Source organism: Homo sapiens, chromosome 6 (genome assembly GCF_000001405.40).
Source record: "Homo sapiens chromosome 6, GRCh38.p14 Primary Assembly".
NCBI lineage: Eukaryota > Metazoa > Chordata > Mammalia > Primates > Hominidae > Homo > Homo sapiens.
The window spans coordinates 117344349-117364879 of NC_000006.12; the positions used below are offsets into that span (position 1 = coordinate 117344349).

General features: G+C 35.9%; 1 protein-coding gene across 17 annotated transcripts in view; it reads right to left on the reverse strand.

Annotated features, from left to right (window-relative positions):
• ROS1 (ROS proto-oncogene 1, receptor tyrosine kinase) overlaps positions 1–20531 on the reverse strand; it is a 138590-nt gene that overhangs the window by 56996 nt on the left and 61063 nt on the right. For 13 of the 17 annotated variants that reach the window (XM_017011173.2, XM_017011172.2, NM_002944.3 and 10 more), the window contains 6 exons: positions 18255–18517; positions 15994–16057; positions 15461–15663; positions 13456–13661; positions 12281–12567; positions 8642–8821 (listed from right to left, as the gene is read on the reverse strand). In XM_017011173.2, the coding sequence (XP_016866662.1) occupies positions 8642–8821; positions 12281–12567; positions 13456–13661; positions 15461–15663; positions 15994–16057; positions 18255–18517 (1203 nt within the window). Of the gene's footprint in view, positions 1–1812; positions 7077–8641; positions 8822–12280; positions 12568–13455; positions 13662–15460; positions 15664–15993; positions 16058–18254; positions 18518–20531 lie in introns of those variants that run through there. The other 4 variants (XM_047419232.1, XM_047419231.1, XM_011536058.3 and 1 more) reach the window with 2 other exon arrangements.

Sequence of the window (20531 nt, forward strand, 5' to 3'; positions counted from 1 at the left end):
CTTAGAAAGAAATTTGTAGAGCATACATAACTTTTGCTTGAAAACATAAATATGAAAATGATTTGAAATAATATTCTCTTTGAAGAAACAAAAATGGCTGCAGCTTGATACTGTGTGTAGTATGTGTAGTATGTACTGCTACAGTCTACCCAATGTCCTCTCCTTTTCTTCAAGTTCATATATATCTGATATTGTTCAGGGCAGTATGCTGGGAGGAAAAACTGTTTCTGAAGTTTGATTGCAGCCCAGACAATCATGTGACACGGTCTGGTTAGTCAGATGTGCTTATCACTGTGGCGCACCTCTGTCCTTCACCCTCCCCCAACCCAGGAGGCGGACACTATGCAAGAGGGGCGGCAGCCATCTTGTGAGAATTGAATAAAGGACTCACTAAGGATGTTTGGGGAAAGATCAAGTCCAGGTGATTGATGGCATTGTGGAGCTCCCTGGCCACCGCTTACAACCAAACACCTTGCACGCTGCACAACTCCAGGGAGCCCCAGTCACAGAGACTACAATGGAAATGGTCTGTTCTAGACCAGTGCAGTAGCGCAACCATACCGCAGGCTTAAGCCTCGAAAAATCGCAGATCTGTCACTTGCAGCTGAACACAACTTCTTGACCTATTCACTCTCAGTCTTTATGTAAAACATCACCTAAAAATGTAGCATAATTACATAATATGCAAATAACTCCAAATATGATTTTAATATGAAATCTAACAATCTTACACCAGTTAGCCAACTCTTTAACTCATTGTGCGTGGCACTGTGCAATCTGGCTCCTGCCCGCATATCCAGTCTCTGCTATGCAAAGCCATCCTTCACTCTAACCACAGTACACTATCTACACACTGCAGGACTTCTACCCCTCCAACCCTTCACATAGGTAGTCTCTTCAGGTTGGAATGATCTTCCCCATCTGCCTAACCTTACTTAAGCCTCAATTCATGCATCATTTTTCCTGGGAAGCCCTTTCTGCCTTCCTATTCCAGGTGAAGGACATCTCCTCTCTGTCCTCACTCCACTTCACGTGTTCTTCTACCAGTGCACTAGCCACATGTGATTTTGGTTTTGGTTTTCTTTTGCTGCTTTCTTTTCTTCATCTAGCACTAGAATGTAACTATCTTTGGCTGAGACTGTGCTTGAATTATCTTTGTTCCACCAGAGCCCCAGGAGGGTGCCTGACATATATTAGGTATTTAGTATGTGTTGTCGATCCTTATGAATTCATATTAGCCACATATAAAATACAACCTTTGCATTCAGCAAGTAAGAAAATTAGGGGGTAAATGTCTAAGTGACAAAAACTTGATGAAGCCAGCTCCTTCACTTGCTAACTTTTTTGTCTTGGGAAGGTTACTCCAGCTCTTCTGTAAACAGAGACAATGGCCTGCTTTACAGATATTTATATATCACTCTATCCCTAGCACATGGTAAGAACATTAAATAAATGTTAGCTATTACTATCATCATTACTGAGACTAAAATGAAAAGTTAGAGAAAATAATGCTGGTCTGGTCTGGGAATTCCAAATATGAATTCCAAAATGCAGGAAAAAATGTTTAAAATTAGAAGTACATCGAAAATCTCCAACAACAGTGTCAAGGGCACTGTGAACCTAAGTTTGAGGACATTTGGAAAGTATGGGGGTTTAGAGATGGATAACCTTACTAAAGTTACAAGATGAACCACTCTTCAGTTCAACCAATATTTATCCAATATATTCAGTTTGTACTGATTTCTGATCTGAACAGAGAATGGGATACACATGTGAGCAATCAGAGCAATTATCTAATTCAAAAGTCATTGGTAATTTTGTCGTTCTTTTATTTAATTGATATAATATGACATGTTGAAGTGTCAGAAACATTATTCAGGACAGAAAGACAGGTTTTTCCCTTACATTTTTTTTTTTATCCCATACATTTTGAAGATAATTGAATACCTTCAGAAAAAAAGGACCAAGATAACTTGTAATTGCTTAAAATTTCCAGCAGATGGAGGTAAAGTATTCTTAATAATGTACCTAGAAACTAGCAACATAAAATAGACTCCATTTTTTAAAGAAAATAATGAGTATTAATCATACTCTTAATGAGTTCCAGTTTAAAAAAAAAACTCATGCCACTCTTGGGACTTCATTTTGGAGCGTGTTTGTGTATGTGGCTGGGAGGAGGATATGTGTGTGTGTCGTTCAACTTCAGATACTGCATGGACGTCTTTTTTTTTTGGTAAGACTTTATTTTTTAGTCAGTTTTAGATTCACAGCAAAATTGAGAGGAATGTACCAAGATTTCCCAGATACTCCTTTTCTCCACACATGCATAACTTTCCCCCATTATCAATACCCCTACCAAAGTAGTACATTTGTTACAATCAATGAGCCTACAATGACATCATTATTACCCAAAGTCTATAGTTTACATTAGAGTTCAGTTTTGTATTGTACATTTTACGGGTTTGGACAAATGTGTAATGAGCTGTATCCACCATTATAGTATCACATAGAATAGTTCCACTGCCTTCAAAGTCCTCTCTGCTCTGTCTATTCGCCACTTCTTCCCCCAGCCTTCTCGCAACTAGTGATCTTATTACTGTCTACATAGTTTTTTACTTTCCCAGAATGTCATATAGTTGATATCAGCCTTCCCCAACTTTGTTCTTCTCCTTCAATACTGTGATAGCTACCTATTCTAGGTCTTTTGCCTCTCCATATAAACTTTAGAATCAGTTTGTTAATATCTACAAAATAACTTTAGCTGGGATTTTCATTGGGATTTTATTGAATCTATAGATAAGTTGAGAAGAAATGACATCTTGACAATATTGAGTCTTCCTATCTATGACATGGAATATCTCTATACTTATTTAGCACTTTGATTTCTTTCATCAGGGTTTTATAGTTTTTCTCATATAGATTTTTGTGCATATGCTGTTAGATTTATACCTAAGTATTTCATTTTCTGTGGGTGTTAATGTAAATGATACTGTGTGTTTAATTTCTAATTCCACTTGTCCATTGCTGGTATACAGGAAAGTGATTGAGTTTAGTATATTAACCTCGTGTCCTGCAAACTTGCTATAATCACTTATGAGTTCCAGGAGTCTTTTTGTCAATTCTTTCAGATTTTCTACATAGATGATCATGTCATCTGTGAACAAAGACAGCGTTATTTCTTCATTCCCAATCAGTATACCTTTTCTTGTATTGTATACCTTTTCTTGTATTGTTGCATGCTGTGACTTCCACTGCAGTGTTGAAAAGAAATTGGGAGAGGGAACATCCTTACCTTGTTTCTGATTTAGTGAGAAAGCCTCTAATTTCTCACTATTAAGTAATGATGTTAACAACAAGTTTTTTTATACATGTTCTTTCTCAAGGAAGTTACCCCTATTCTTAGTTTGCTGAGGATTTTTCATCCTGAATCCGTGTTGAATTTTGTCAAAAGCATTTTCTGCATCTATCAATGTGACCGCCTGATTTTTCCTCTTTAGTCTGTTGATATAGTGGACTACATTAATTGATTTTCAAATGTTGACTCAAACTTGCATAGCTGGGATAAATCCCACTTGACTGTGATATAAAACTATTTTAATATATTGCTCGATTTGATTTGCTAATATTTTGTTCAGGACTTTTGCAATTCTTGCAATATTCAAGAGAGACACCGGTCTAAAATTTTCTTTTCTTGTAATATATTTGTCTAGTTTTGGTTTTAGGGTAATTCTGGCCTAGAATAAACTCATTCATTGGCCTAATTGGAAGTAGGCCCTCTGGTTCAATTTTCTGAAAGACATTGTAGAGATGGTATAATTTTCCCATAAATGTTTGATAGAATGCATCATTGAATCCATCTGGCCCAGGTGCTTTCTATTTCAGAAGGCTATTAATTATTGATTCCACTTATTTAATAGATGTGGACATATTCAGATTGTCTATTTCTTCTTCTGTGAGTTTTGGCATATTGTGTCTTTAAAAGAATTGGTCCATTTCATCTAGGTTATTAAATTTGTGAGCATAGAGTTGTTAATAGTATTCCTTGATTATCCTTTTAATCTCCATGGGTTCTACAGAGATGTCCCCGCCTTCATTTCTACTATTAGCAATTTGCATCCACTCTCTTTTTTTCTTAGCCTGGCTAGAGGCTTATCAATTTTATTTATCTTTTCAAAGAACCAGTTTTTGGCTTCATTGATTTTTCTCTATTGATTTCCTGTTTCAATTTCATTGATTTCTACTATACTTCCTTTTTATTTTTTCTTTTGTTTTAGTTTTGTTTCTTATTATTATTTGGGACTTAATTTACTCTTCTTTTTCTAGTTTCCTAAAGTAAAAGCTTAAATAATTTTAGATCTATTTTTTTAATACATGCAGTCAGTGCTGTAAACTTCCCTCTAAGCACTGATTTTACTGATTCCCGTAAGTTTTGATGTTTTGTTTTCATTTTTAGTTCAAAATATTTTTAATTTGAGATTTCTTCTTTTACCCATTTGTTATTTAGAAATACGTTGTTTAATCTCCAAGTGTTCTGAGATTTTCCAGCTATCTTTCAGTTATTGAGTTCTAGTTAAATGGCATTGTAGTCTGAGGACAGATATTGTATGATTTCTATTCTTTTAAATTTGTTGAAGTGTATTTTATGTTCTGTCTTGGTGAATGTTCCATGTGAGCTTGAGAAGAATGTTTATTCTGCTGTTGTTGGAAAAATTATTAATAGTAGATAGATGTCCATTACAGCCAATTAATTGATGGTGTTATTGAGTTCATCAGTATATCCTTAGTGATTTTTTTTCTGCTGGATTTGCCCATTTCTGATAGATGTCGTGAAGTCTTCAATGGTGATAGTGGCTTCATCTGTTTCTTGCAGTTCTATCAGTTGTTGCCTCATGTATTTTGATGCTCTGTTGTTAGAGATATATGCATTAAGGATTATTACATCTTCTTGGAGAACTGATCCCTTTATCATTATGTAATGTCCCTCTTTATCCCTTATAACTTTCCTTGCTCTGAAGTCTGCTGTCTGAAATTGTTTCTTCTTTCATTTGATTAGCGATAGCATGATATACTATCTCCATCCCTTTACTTTTGATCTATATGATGTGTCTTTATATTTAAAGTGGGTTTCTTATAGACAATGTATAGTTGAGTCTGTTTGTTGATCCACTCAAACAACTTCTGTCTTTTAGTTGGTGTATTTAGACCACTGATGTTCAAAGTGACTACTAATATAGTTAAATTAAGATCTACCATATTTGTTATTATTTTTCATTTGTTGCCCTTGTTCTTTGTTCCTACTTTTGTCTTCCACTTTTTTTCTGACTTTTGTGGTTTTATTTGAGCATTCTAAATGATTCTATTTACTCTCCTTTCTTGGGAATCAGTTATACTTTTCTAAAAATATTTTTCAGTGATTTGCCCTTGAATTTGCAATGTATATTTACAACTAATCCAAGTCCACCTTCAAACAACACTATACCACTTCACAGGTTTGCAGTACCTTATAATAACAAAATACTCCCAAGTCCTCTTTTCTATCCCTTGTGTCACTGCTGTGATTCATTTTGCTTAATATAAATATAAATATACACATATATATATGCACACATACATACATAAGTGGATATAATTGAATATGTTATTGCTATTACTATTTTGAACAAACTATTATCCATTAGGTCAGTTAAGAAAAAGAAAAACTTTTACTTTACTTTCACTTATTTATTCTCTAATGCTCTTCCTTTCTTTATGTAGATCTGCATTTCTGATCTATATCATTTTTCTTCTTTCTAAAGAACTTCTTTTAACATTTCTTCCAAAGCAGGTCTACTGATAACAAATTCTCTCAATTTTTGTCTGAGAATGTCTTTATTGCTCCTTCTCTTTTGAAGGATAATTTCACAGGGTATGGAATTCTAGGTTAGTGTTTTTTTCTCTCAACATTTTAAATATTTTACTTTTCTCTCTTCTTGCTTATATAGTTTCTGAGGAGAAGTTGGATATAATTCTTATCTTTGTTCCTCTATAGGTTAAGTATTTTTTCCTCTGGCTTCTTTCAGAATTTTTTTTCTTTATCTTTGGTTTTCTGCAGTTTGAATATGATAGGCCTAGTGTAGATTTTGGCATTTATCCTTCTTGGTATTCTTTGAGCTTCCCATACCTGTAGTTTGGTATCTGACATTAATTTGGGGAAATTATCAGTCATTATTTTTCAAATATTTCCTCCAAATATTTCTTCTGTTCCTTTCTCTCTTCTTTTTCTAGTATTCATATTATACCTATCTTACACCTTGTGTAGTTTCCCCACAGTTCTTGAATATTCTGTTTCGGTTTTTTTCCTTTTTTTTTTTTTTTTTACCTTTATAGTTTTGCAGGTTTCTACTGAGATATTTTCAAGCTCAGAGATTCCTTCCTCAGCCACATCCAGTCTACTATTAAGCCCATCAAACATTCCTCACATGTTACAGTGTTTTTATCTCTAACATTTCTTTTTTTTCCTCAAATATCCATATCTTTGCTCACATTGACCATCTGTTCTTGTATACTGACTACTTTATCCATTAGAGCCCCTAGCATATTAATCATAGTTGTTTTAAATTCTCAGTCTGATAATTCTAACATCCCTGCCATATTTAAATGATTGTGATAGTTCCTCTATCTCTTCAATCTGTGTTTTATGCCTTTTAGTATGCCTTGTAATTTTTTCTTGATAGCTGAATATGCTGTACTGGGTGAAAGCAACTGCTGTAAATGGGCCTTTAGTAATGCGGTGGTAAGGTGTAGGGGAAGGGGAGGCATTTTATAGTCTTAGATTAGATCTCAGTTAACTTCAAGTGGGTTTTTGCTTTGCTTTTCGACTGTGAACTTCACAGGTTCTTTTCAGTCCCCCCACCCCACTTAGGTGGGACACGACGGCTGGAGTGGGCTGGGGTTGGGCACTTCTCTTTACCCAGGTCAATTAAGCTCTGATAAAACCCGAGCAGGTCCAGCTGTGATTAGTGTATCTTGAATGCAGCCCTTGTTAAGAAGAACAGAATGCTCTGGTGCCTTTCAAAATTTTTCCTTTTCCCTTCTCTCTGTGGGAAGCACAAGGAGATTCTCTAAGAAAAAAACCAGTTAAAGCTCCTGGAGGTAAAACTTATAAAATGAAGCCCTCCTATGACAGGATGCCCCTCGAGTTTCTAACTCTCAGAGTTACCCACACTGAGCCTCAAGCAATTCATCAATTACAGTTTGGATTTTTCTACCACTAACACTGCTTTCTAAAAAGATTTCAGCTCATGGGTTTTTGCTCTGGTAAATTGTAATTCTCTGTATTTACCAATCTGTCTTTCCAACTGGGGACAGCAGTTTGCTCTGTGACCTCACTTCTCTTGTGGATCCAAGAAGAGCTGTTAAGTTTTCAGTTTGCTCAGACTTTTACTTGTTTTTGGGTGGAGTGGCAATTTCTAAGCTTCTGGGCCAGAAACCAGAAGCCACATGAACTTTTAAAATCTCTTAAATTTCTCAAAGTGAAAAATAAATTATTTTACAAAAATACAAAGTAGGCTTTATTTATAAATTTTAACATTTTTCAATTTACATATTTTATAACTGAAAACATTTAAACAAAGAGAGTTTATGTCATTCATATCTGTCCCTCTCCAGAGGAGAGTTATAGTTAATTTAGAATGATATTTGCACCTTAGTGGCAAAGACGGCTTTGACAAAATACCAATGAGGCCATGCAATTCTGTTTTTGTTTTTGTTTTCAGACGAGTCTCGCTCAGTCGCCCAGGCTGGAGAGCAGTGGCGCAATCTGGGCTCACTGCAAGCTCCGCCTCCCAGGTTCAATCCATTCTCCTGCCTCAGCCTCCCGAGTAGCTGGGACTACAGGCACCTGCCACTACGCTGGGCTAATTTTTTTGGCAATACTGTTTTTGTTTTTGTTTGTATGGTTTTTAGATTTCAACAATGTTTTATTATGACTGTCAGTAGAAAATATATAGTCAGTTCTGCTATAACATGATACATGCCTTTCTAGGAATCATTGCACTGTACAAATCACACAATAAAATTCACAGTTTATGGGAAAAGTAGGATGAGGGGCATAACACTAAAAACTTCATCAGTGACATTTTTTTTAAAAAAGATAAAAACTTAATAAAAATGGTAGCACAGGCTTACTCATGTTAAATGGTACTACATATTATAATAGTATATATTAATACTTAGTGATTTGATACCTAATACTGCATACTGCATAGTAACAGAAGTATGACCTGTTACCTTGAAAACAAGGTTGTATGCAATGCTTTTTGACACCACTGGGAGGCCTAAAATATCAGCAAAGGAGAAATAAGAGAAAGAAGAGAAATTATGGGACTGAGAAGAGAAAGAGGCCAGGCAGAGAGAACAACAGGACGCAGGTTTCCCATGTCTAAAGTTGCCCACCACACCCTGAGCTGTGTTTACACATAGAAGTAATTTGTGATCCAGGGCAAACAGCAATCACAGTGCACACAGAAGACTAGCAGAGTTTGGAGCAAGGATGAGAGCACAACAAAGGGGCTAAAGGGACAGCCTTGGAGAAGGAGATGTTATGAGATTTTTCTGACCCTAAATTGGGAGAACAAGCTGATTACGAATGTGACTTTATTACCTGGAAAAGGCTGCATAACTGAACTGTAAGCCAAGATATGCCTACTCCTTAGGGCCTTCACCTGGGAAACGATGGCCCCATTTCCTTTCTTTGCCTGATAAATCTGTGTGCTGTCCTTTGCTGTGATGATCCAGTATATAAGATCTCCATCCACAGTTAAGCTAACAAGGGTTTTTCCTGCTGTTAAAAACATAAGGAATATAAAGAACAAAATTAATATCTTACATTTTTTACTCTAAAAATGTATGAAATTTTTTCTATATTATAATTGCTAAATTTTGAATCTATTATTTCAACATTAAAAAATACCTTTATTTTATGTCATTTGACTAAGGGTTTTAGAGATGTTCTCTCATTTTAGCACCATATCAAGCCAATCAGGTAACTACTATTATTACTAACCTCATTTTGTGGAAAGGCAAACTGAAGTTTAAAGGAGTTAAATAATCTGCTCAAGGCCACCAAAGGGCAGACCCAGGATTTAAAACCCACCTATGTGACTCAAAATCAAATAATGCCAACCTGAGGGAAATATTAAATGATAGGCATAGGGCTCAGTGCATTTCTCAATATTTTTATCAGTGGTTTGGAATGAATGCATAGTAAACATATTTATCAACTTTGCAGATAATAAATGATTATCACCATCACTAGCAGGTTCAGTTACAGCCTTGAAATTCAAAAATATCATAACAGAATCAGGAAATTGATTCAAATTTGATACGAACAAATGTAAAATCCTAAATTTAAGTTTCATATCAATTCTGTAAATGAACGAATGAAAGGGATCTGGCTTAATAATAATGAATGTGGAAAAGACTATGGTCTTTCAATGGCAGGCATCCTAAAGATCTGATTCCACTTTTGGCTACAACAAAAAGAAGACCTTCATAGTTAGAGTCTCCCTTCACTGACAAGAACACATTGAGAGTGCAGTGTCTTTATGGGGGCAATATTTAAGAGAATATTAACTAGCTGGAATGAAATCACGGGAGGGCGACTAGGACAAAGATTTAGATGCCACATTGCCTGGGGAGCAATTGAAGATACTTGAATTTTTCCTCCAAAGAAAATGCTTGATTCCAGCATGGTGGCTCACGCCTGTAATCCCAGCACTTTGGGAGGTCAAGGCAGGCAGATTGCTTGAGCCCAGGAATTCAAGACTAGACTGGGCAGCATAGCAATACCCTGTCTCTACAAAAAAAATACTAAAATTAGTGAGGCATGGTAGTGTGCACCTGTAGTCCCAGCTACTTGGGAGACTGAGGCAAGATGATCACCTGAGCCTGGGAGATGGAGGCTGCAGTGAACCATGATTGCACCACTGCACTCCAGCCTGGGCAACAGAGTGAGACCCTGTCTCAAAAAAAAAAAAAGTGCTTACAATGAGCTACAACAGTTATCTCTACATAGTTGAATGGCTATCATGTGGAAAGTGATTAAATTATTCTTTGTAAATTTAGAGGTAAGAACTAAGACTAATGAACGGGAGAAATGAAGAGAAGACAGGCTAAATATAAGAAAAAAACTAATATTCATAATTGTCCAAAAGCTTAAACAGACTTCCTTATGAAGTAGCAGGGTTTTTTAAAGAAACAGTTGTTTAAGCATGACTATTTTTAAAGAAAAAATTTCTTGCAACATCATAACATCTAAATGATCCCTAAAATCTTTCTAATTTTCTAATTTTAGGATTTTAATTACAGGTTTATGAAAAACTGACCAGTTTTATACATATATAATGGTCTACTAGGTAATTCTTGTGTCTTGTGTATCAAATATTAAAGAAAAAAATTATTCTGACACTTGTTAAAATGGTAAGAAAGACTTTAGTCAAGATAAGTGCAATAGCGCACTAGGAAAGACAAATATTGCAACATAGCAAAGACAGTTGGGGTTTTTATAGCCAAGAAACTGAGTGAGGAAGTCATTGGGTGGAAAAATACAGGGACAGCATCCAGGATAGAGCAATCCTTATTAAATTAGCCTAATGGGATTCTTGCTAAAGGCAGGCCAAGAGCCTAAACAGGATTCTTACTTAAATCAGACCAATGTCCATCAAGGGTGGGAGATGAAGAACTTGATCAGGTATCAGTGGTAGGGGGTTCTCCTAAACTGACTTTGTAGGATTCTTGCTAAAACTGAACTCAGCAAGGATGGACACATGAAGACCAAGGCTGAGGCCTAGTCAAGAAGAGGACTCAGAGGAGCATAACCACATTTTGATCAAAGAAAAGGTCTTTGTCACAGGTTTAACAGAAACAAGTAATATAACTAAGGAGGAATCATTCAAAACATTACCTCTATCATTAAATCTACTTAATGATAGGAATTGTTTCTAAAAGGCCTTGTTTCTAAAAGGCCTCTAAACATAGGAATTGCTTCTAAAAGGCCTTGGTTGACATGTCAACAAAACCTATATACAATTATAACACATACACACATATTTGCAATTTCAAAACTTTACTGTATAATCCAGCAGTGACCAATAGATTTCAGTGATGATGAAAACGTTTTATACCTACATTGTCCAATACAGTGGCCATTAGCTATTTGTGGCTTTTGAGCACTTGAAGTTTAGCTAGTGTGACTGCGAGATTAAAATGTTTAATTTTATTTAATTTTAGTTTTTTTTTTTTTGAGACAGTCTTACTCTGTCACCCAGGCTGGAGTACAGTGGCACCACCTTGGCTCACTGCAACCTCCACCTCCTGGGTTCAAGTGAGTCTTCCTGTCTCAGCCTCCTGAGTAGCTGGGATTACAGGCATGCACCACTGTGCCCAGCTAATTTTTGTATTTTTAGTAGAAACAGGGCTTCACCATGTTGGCCAGGCTGGTCTTGAACTCCTGACCTCAAGTGATCTACCCACCTCGGCCTTCCAAAGTGCTGGGATTACAGGCATGAGCCACTGCACCTGGCCTTAATTTCAATTAATTTAAACTTAAATAACCACATGTGGCTAGTGATTACCACACTGGGCAATGAAAAGTAATTTTAAGAGTATATGGGGTATTTAGAGTATATATTTTTTTCTGTTGAATTACTCCTAATTAGGAGACTTCCAAATTGTACTCGACTTTCGAATATTTATTCTACAAGCATCTGAATTTCAACAAATAGACTCAGGTATTGACCAATTCATGTTGAAAGTGGAATCTATGGGATCATCAAAGTGGAAATAATTTAGGATAGTGGGAAGATCATGCATGTTGTAGTTAGACCCAGTTTCAACTCCTTCTAACTAACTGTGGCCCTTGGGAAAAGTTACCTTACTTTTCTCAGCCTCAGTTTCCTCATCTGTAAAATGAGGATATTAGTACCTACTGCACTGAGGTATTATGAAGATTAAATAAAATAATGCATTTAGTACATGCTAAGAATATACAGTTAAGCTCATTAAATTGTAGCTCTATTGTTAATTACAATTTTTTAAAACACAGATTTAGAAAATTATGTGAATGCCTACATACAATTTTCCTGGAAACAACTTGATTTGAATTCTGCAAGAACACTTGGCATGGTACAGAGCAAATATCATGTGTATATTTGAGTATACGCGGAATGCAAGCCCTTTGTAAATGCAGTTGAAGGGGCTGCTCTTATTAACAAATATCTGTGCACATACATCAGCATCTTACCGAGCATAGCAGGTACTGTGATAACTCTCCAACACTGACAGCCTTCCAGATCCATTGCCCAGATCTCTTGTGCTTTGGCAAAGTATATCAATGGTTTCTCTAGGTTAGAGGTATCAATAGCCATTGCTCCACTTAACTCAAATTCAGTCACATTACAAGAACATTGATTCCTTTTGTTTTGTTGGTTTGTAGCTGTGGGTTGCAGAATTCGGTGCAAGGTGTGACTGATAATACTGTAGTAGAACATCTGGTAGCCAAAATTGGAAACTTCTGTCCAATACAAGCGACTATAGAGGAAAAAAAAGTCCCCCCAACTTAATGAGTAAAATACATCATTTCAAATATTGGTTTCTAATGCAGAGCAACTATTGCTAATGACTGTGAGGGACAAATGGAGCCTTTGGAGAGAACATGGTCAAGTTTTCAATAACCTTTTTCTGAGATGGAAGAAGTCACAAGAAGTCTAACTTGTAGCATTTCCAATGATTTCTCAATAGATGTGTTTACAACTAAAGTCTTGGAATATAATGACCTTAGGTGCTATATTAAAAGGCCCACTTAATAACTGAAATATAAAATATATTTGCTAATTTTCATCAATGTCCATCTCTATTCCCCTCCTCTCATGTTTGTTTCTGCTTCTTAATACTAGTTAATGATCTAGTTTCCAAATAGCCTATCCCCATGCTTATGGCCCAAACAGAAATCCATCTTTCCAGCCTGCGAAATTGCTACTTAGGTGCTAAAAGGAAACTTTAAAGCTCACCTTATGAGGATATTAGTTAAACTAAGATGGATGAGCACAGAATAACTTTTACTGTGCAAGGCATGCTGCCCATCTGTTCCTGCTCACCTCTTGCCACTGTCTCAATCCACTTCTTGTACTTGCCAACTGATGATGTTATTGCATTCACTAGTATAAAAATCTGCTATTGTTTCCTTTTAGGTAATTAGCCTAACTTTGTTAGTCAAATTGTCAGTATGCATTAAGTTTACATATTTGTAGTTGTGCCTCCTAATTTATATGAAGAACTACTTACTATAATATAGTGGGCCAAGAGCCCTAAGCATCTTATTTTTCCATAATTGTCTTCTACTATTAAACCAAAGACATTACATTAAATATGTCTATATCTATTTCATCACAATATAAAAAAATACTTGCATTTACATACCTTAAAAGAGGATATACAGAAAAAGAAATTATTGTTGAATTCCTATTGTGAATCTTCACCTCTCTGGGATATTTCACCTTGTGTTCAAGATCAACATCAAATACTTGCATTCCATTTTGTGATTCTTTCAGTGCAAAGTAGAGGTGCCTTGAAATCCAGTCAATTGTAATAACTGTGATATCAAAAACCAGTGAATCTTGGAAAAGCTTAACAACAGGTAGAGAACACAGCCAAGAAGAGAGTGGTTATTTTTTTATTTGAAGACTTTTCTATATTCACCCATATCATTTGTTTACTGCACTTCTCATTTGTAATCCCAAACCTCAGCAATCTGGACGGTATACCATTGTAACATGGGCACTGTTCTCACATTTTTCCTAAATGATTTTAACTATCATGGCTTTAACTGCAATCTACAAACCAGTGCTACAAATTTATATCTTCAGACAAGATCTTTAATGAGTCACTGATTCAAATATCAAACTGCCTACTGAACATTTCCATATGAATTATCCCAGAAAACAGACTTCATCACCCACCCCAAAACCTCTTTTTCTCCTGCATTTTATATTTTTATGGATTTCCAACACCACCCAAGGAGCTAATCCTGACAAATATGGTCCTCCTTGACTTCTTCTCATTACTACCCATAGTAAACTAGTCCCTTTTTTTTTTGGAGATGGAGTCTGGCGGTAACCCAGGCTGGAGTGCAGTGGCATGATCTTGGTTCACTGAAACCTTCGCCTCCTGGGTTCAAACGATTCTCCTGCCTCAGCCTCCCAAGTGGCTGAGACTACAGGTGCGCACCACCACGTCCAGCTAATTTTTATATTTTTAGTAGAGACAGGGTTTCACCATGTTGGCCAGGCTGGTATCGAATTCCCGGCATCCAGTGATCCACCTGCCTTGGCCTCCTACAGTGTTGGGATTACAGGTGTGAATCACTGTGTGCAGCTTGAACTAGTCCCATTTTAAATGTCCAGTTTGTCATCTCCTTTCTCACCTCATGCTCATCCCCTCACTCAGGCCCATAACATTTTCTACCTGGATTTCTGTGACAGCCTCCTAATTGTCTCAGACTTAACCCTCTCTAAGTCACTATTCACACTGCTAACAGACAGGCCTTTCTAAAACACAACTTGACCATGTTAATGACCCACTAAATATCTTTACTGGCTTGCTGTTGGCTTCTAGAATGACACCTGTCTCCTTAGCACAGTAAAGGAGGCCCATTATGCTCAGGCTCCCACCTCTCCAGATTTCCCACCTTCCTTTCACTCCACTCTCATCCAAACACTCTATGGCTCTTTGTTTTCCTGTCTTTGTACCCCCTCAGCCTTCACCTGTCTCATCTTTGTTTCCAAGATGTTTTTCCATTCTACCACCACCAAGCCAACCTAGACTACGTGTTCATTCTCTGTGATTCCACCACATCCTGCTCTCAGCACAACAGTTATCCTAGTCTGTCTTCACTATCAGTTAACATTTAGTGAATGCCTACCACATGCCAGGCATTGTGCTAAGTGCATTACATGGATTATCTCATTTAATCTTCATGGGAACCCTATGATGAGGTATTACTTAACCACAGAGGTTAAATAACTTGCCAGTGGTCACAAATCTAGTAAGTAGTAGAGCCCAAATTGCATTCTAGGTAGTCAAATTCCAAAACTCACCTTCTTAATCACTAGGCAATACTGCCTTCCTAGTGTTGGACTAATACTAGACTGGGTTTATTAAGAGCAAAGCCTATAAACTTTCACCCATAATATCCCAGGCTCTAACACAGCATCCTAAACCCAATAACTATTTGCTAACTGAGTGTTGAATGACATTTGCCCAAAATGTAGTCTGTATTCATTTGTGGCTAAATAATTATACAATATCTGTCCTTTTCATTCTAATCTTAATGACTAAACCGTTTTCCAGTCATTTTAACTACAAAGTAGTGTCATATGCAAATACTTCACTTCCTTTATTTCGGAAGAATTACATAGTGAAATACCTCAGAGCTAGAGCGATTGTGCAAGTGCAGAAGAAAGAGTGAGTCCCCTTCAGCATAATATCCCATCTCATTATCAGCTGTGTAGCAAACGGCACTGATAACTCTTTCTGCTGAAAACGTCCACACAACTTGATTTTGATCCATATCTAAAAAAACTATCTTGTTACCAAGAAGAGTTATGAGGTGAGGAAATGGGTTGATTTCTGAAAGCAAAAAAACATGTAGATAATATGCATGAGAAAACTGACTTTAGCTTAGCAAAGTCTCGATTTAATATCTGGCAGTTTTGAAGTCCATGGGCTCCCTTTGGTTCCTCTAATAGATCTTTCTCAGTGATAACCTTGTAGGCTCTCTACCCCTAGGTTTATTTAAACATATTTTGGTGGTGTGTTGGGGTCAAAAACATGTTTTTGACCTAAACTTTAGCAAAGAGACAGTGTTCATATCCCTAAAGACACCAATGGGACACACACACACACACACACACACACGCCTCTAAATTATTATTTGCACAGATTTTAGAAAACAAATACCTGATGTTGTAGACTTTACAACGTCAGCATATGGTCCTGGCCCCTTAGATGTAAAGGCCCTAACCTAAAGAAAAGGAAACAAAAATTGCATTCAGTAGTGTTCTCCGTGGCAACAATTAAGTTCTGAGACTGAGAGATTACTAAATGTTTCATTTCATACTCCTGATACACAATATTAATAGTTTCAAATAGTTATTGACATTAATATACAGCAATATAAATCACCAAGAGAAAAAATATTGCTCTATATTTATGTTGACAGATTTTTTAATCTAGAAAAGTGCAAGAATTGGAACAAATCTCTCTTGCTAAAAAATGAATTTCTAAAAATGTCTGGGGATTTAATGTACAGCATGGATGGTGATGAATGTCTAATTAATTCAATTGTGATAATTACACAATGTATACATTTATTAAGTCATGTTGTACAGCTTGAATATATATATATCAATTGAATATTTTTAAATAAAGTAAGGTCATTATTTTCAAAATTAAGTTACATAGAACATTTAACAGAAATAAAACTGTACAAATTATGATAAACTTCCATTTTTCTTGAATTCAACAACTAGAAGCTTCAAAAAACTAAATTTCCAGACTTTTTAGAAAGAGTAACTTTTAAAAATAATTAAATCTTACATTTGAAAATGATTGTGCATTTCAAACCAGTTTCACATACATTGTCTCTTTTGATCTTCACAACTACTAAGAGTAGAAACTGGACCAGGATACTAATAAAGGTAAGTAACTCATGCACAATGACGTATGTAGAAACTGGCATCAGAACCAAGTCTTCTGAGGTCTACATACATTTTTTCCCATTGGGCCATGCCACATTCTAACAGTAAAGTTTATTTTTTTTCTTAGATATTTTCTATTATGTAATAAATTATTTCCATTTCCAAACCTTGCATATGTACAGTAGCCTGCAAAGAAAATTGACATCTATAATGGTGGACTCAAAATATAAAGCCCCAAGTACTTTATCAACAAAACATTGTATTATTTTTATTATACTTTTAGTATTAAACATATTTTACTGTATTTTATATATTACTATCTGTATGATTTATAATGGTGCATATATATATATATAGTAGTGTTTACTTTTGTACAAAACTGTGTTAAATGAAACTCATACATATCCATGCATATCACTTTGCATGGTTCCATGGTGACCAAAATTTGAAACTATATATCTATATACATATTTATATTATATATTCTATATAAATACTATATATTCTATATATAGACACACTTAACCCGAATATTATTTTACCAAAACACTCCTAATTTTTACCAAATAGGAACGTGTACTATCTTTAACTTTCATGTATAACTTATTTGATTAGTATATGTAGACAACAAATTATCAAAATAATTATTAAATTAGAATTTTATGAAAAGAAAAACAAATCCCTACACAACTCAAATCTCCAAAACACTCCCCAAGATGTTATTTTCCCCAAAAAGAAATGGTGGAAAGCATTACAGCACAGTGCTTTCCAGCCACGCAGCTTTGGTAATTGACTGATACTCTCAACGACTTAACTTTTTCTTTATAGTATGAGGATCAAATGAGATAATGAATACAAAAATACCTACAGTGGTGCAAGGCCTATAGTGATTTTATTGAAAAATAATGGTTTATCAAAATAACACATGTACCCCAAATGTATGTACAACTATAATATATATCAATAAAAAATGTAAAACAAATCAGTAATGTGTAACATACAGAAATTAAAATCATGATACAGCTTCAAAAGAAAAGCAAAAAGAAAAAGAATGACTTACTCTGAATTTGCAAAGTTCCCTGAATGTGAGAAAGTTGTGAAAGTGTCCTTCACCCAAGCAATCCCCTCTTGCCTCTCTACTTTTGCTGCCCACTTGACCTCTTTGATCACAGTATACCTAAATTATTGACAGGGTGGCAGAATTCTTAACCTAGTCCTTTAATTATTCTTCTGTTTAAACTTTTTTTTTTAACTGCAGTCGTCTTTAATGGAATAAAAACGAATTCCTGCATATTAATCCTCAAAAGGTCCACTTTCCATTTCTTTAACAGTTTACTTTAGTCACTCTTATCTGAATTACCTCCATTAATTTTCTCACATAATTTTAAAAAACTATAGTGGCCAATCAAAATCTAGGTATGTGTGCCATTTACACTGTAACATATCCCAGAAACATAGTCTTTCCCTCTCCCCACAATGCCGCTATTAAGACTCTCATATCTTCTGTTTTCTCTCTCATACCTGGAAGGCAATAAAGCATCTGGGACTCATGCCTTCAAGTTGAAAAGACATCACTGAGGGAGTGACATTGACAGCAATCCAGTCTTCACATGTTTTGTTTGTAATACTTTGATTGGATATATTGTAGAAAATTTCAAATTTTGTTAACACCCCATTTTCATGCTTAGGTTTGTTCCACCTAAATTCCACCACAACTTCATTCTTGTTGCAGCATTTTCCACTTGGTAATATAAATATTCTGGGGTTCTCTGGTGCTGATGGAACTGAAAAGTAGAGGCACAGGTAGAGCAGAAAAGAATATAAGAATATAAAGAATATAAGACTTTTACCACTTATAATAAGATTGTAAACAACTTAACAATATTTCTCATTCCAGGCAGTTGCAGTATATTTATTACATTCTTAAAGATCTTCAGGAGAGAATATTCCATAGATTTCTTCAGGAACCCATCCTGATAATTTCAGCACATCTGACTGACAGGCAAGACTTCCTTATGTTCAACTCAAATCCTTCCTACTACCACTTAAGCACACCTTTCTTGTCTGTGCCTTGTGTAGATGGAAGCTGTCTGGTTCTCCCCGTAAAATGCAACATTCACTTTTATCCTGACAGAGTGATTTCAGTGAAGGTGAAAATGTCATCATCAGGATGGATGGCAGTAAGTCCCACCAGCCTTCAGCCAGTTCAGGTTGTAAAACACAGCATAAATCAGAGACCTAGGCCCTGTCACTCTGAAGTTCCTAGAAAGCAGAAAGTTTAGGGGAGGCTGATCGTACCCCAAGAGTAAGGTTTGGGAGTATTCATTTATTCTAGAGCCAAACCAAGCAATTCAGTATCTCTCAGTCCTTTAATCAAGAGAAATGTCTCTGCCTGATTTCTAAGTCATTCTCTCTGGATGGCCCTCTCCTCTCTTAGGACTCCTCCACAAGGTCTTCATTCCCTCCCTCATTCCAATCACATTGCTATTTAATGTTTAACACTCATACTATTATTCAATCTCCAGGCCTTCTTACATTAGGCTTCTCTTCTCACATGGGATACCTCTTCTTGCTCCATCTTTCAGAGTGCACTAAAGTTTCCATTTCCCAAAGGCACCTTCTCTCTTAAAAATGCCTGAGGCAGCTTGATATAGGTGAAGGTTTCATAGGCTTGTCTACTCACTCTATGCCACTGCTGCTCAGGTATAACTCTCTAGTATCTATTATCATTTGCTGTGCATGTGTTTATCTCCCTCCTGTTTTATGAACTCCATCAGAGAAAGCATCTCTTCTTATTCCTTGTTAAATCTTCCCATATCTAGTACAGAACTGGCATACAGTAAGTGGTTAATAAATATTGGTCAATTTGGATAATTTCCTGGCTATATTGTAAATTTCCTGAAGGCAAAGGCCAAATCTTGTCATCCTTTCTTATTCTCCAATATCCAGCAGAGTGCTGTTGACTCTTGCTCCCACTGGATCCCCTGATGGATGCAGTCAAGTCCATTTCCACAGGACAATTCAACCAAGCTGATATCCCAAGGAAATCTCAAGCAGAACATTCCTGGATCCAATGCTAACTGCTCCGGAACCTGCCCAGGCCCCACTATGTTCCTGTTGTGTAATTCGTAGATGGATATTGTTGAAATAATCTTAATAGTAAAAAATGCAATGGAGAATGGATATCTATATTTATTAAGCTCTTACCACCTGCCAAATCCTGTATTAGCTTTACATAAATTACTATCATTTACCAACATTTGTAAAAGTGACTGAATGGAGATTTGATGAAACTGTAGTGAAAAGTCCAGATTAAGTCCCAGCCCAGCCACTTAGTAACTATTTTATTTGGGCAACTACTAGGCTTTCATTTTCTTTCTTGCATAATCAAGATAATAAGACTTTCCTACCCACCTCAGAGCTCTGTGAGGATCAAATGAAATGATGTTTCTGACACATGATAGGTATGTAGTAAATAGTTAATAAAGGAGTGATACATAAAAATGTGTTTTGTACACTTTAAGGTGATACACACATGTAATGATATGGCTAGTATCTTTTTTAAAATATCTTTTCCCCAAAACATTAAATTTAGATATCAGTTATTCACCTACAGAAGATTCTGAGTTCCCATCTATGAGAACAGTCTGCCTTCCAAGAAAACTGTCTCTGCCCTTAAATGCCCATTTTCCTTATAAAGGATTTTGCAAATTACCTGAAATATGCATCTGCATCTTCTACATCACTACAATCAAATGAAATGGCTGTTAAGAAATCTTTGAAATATTCTTTTGGAAT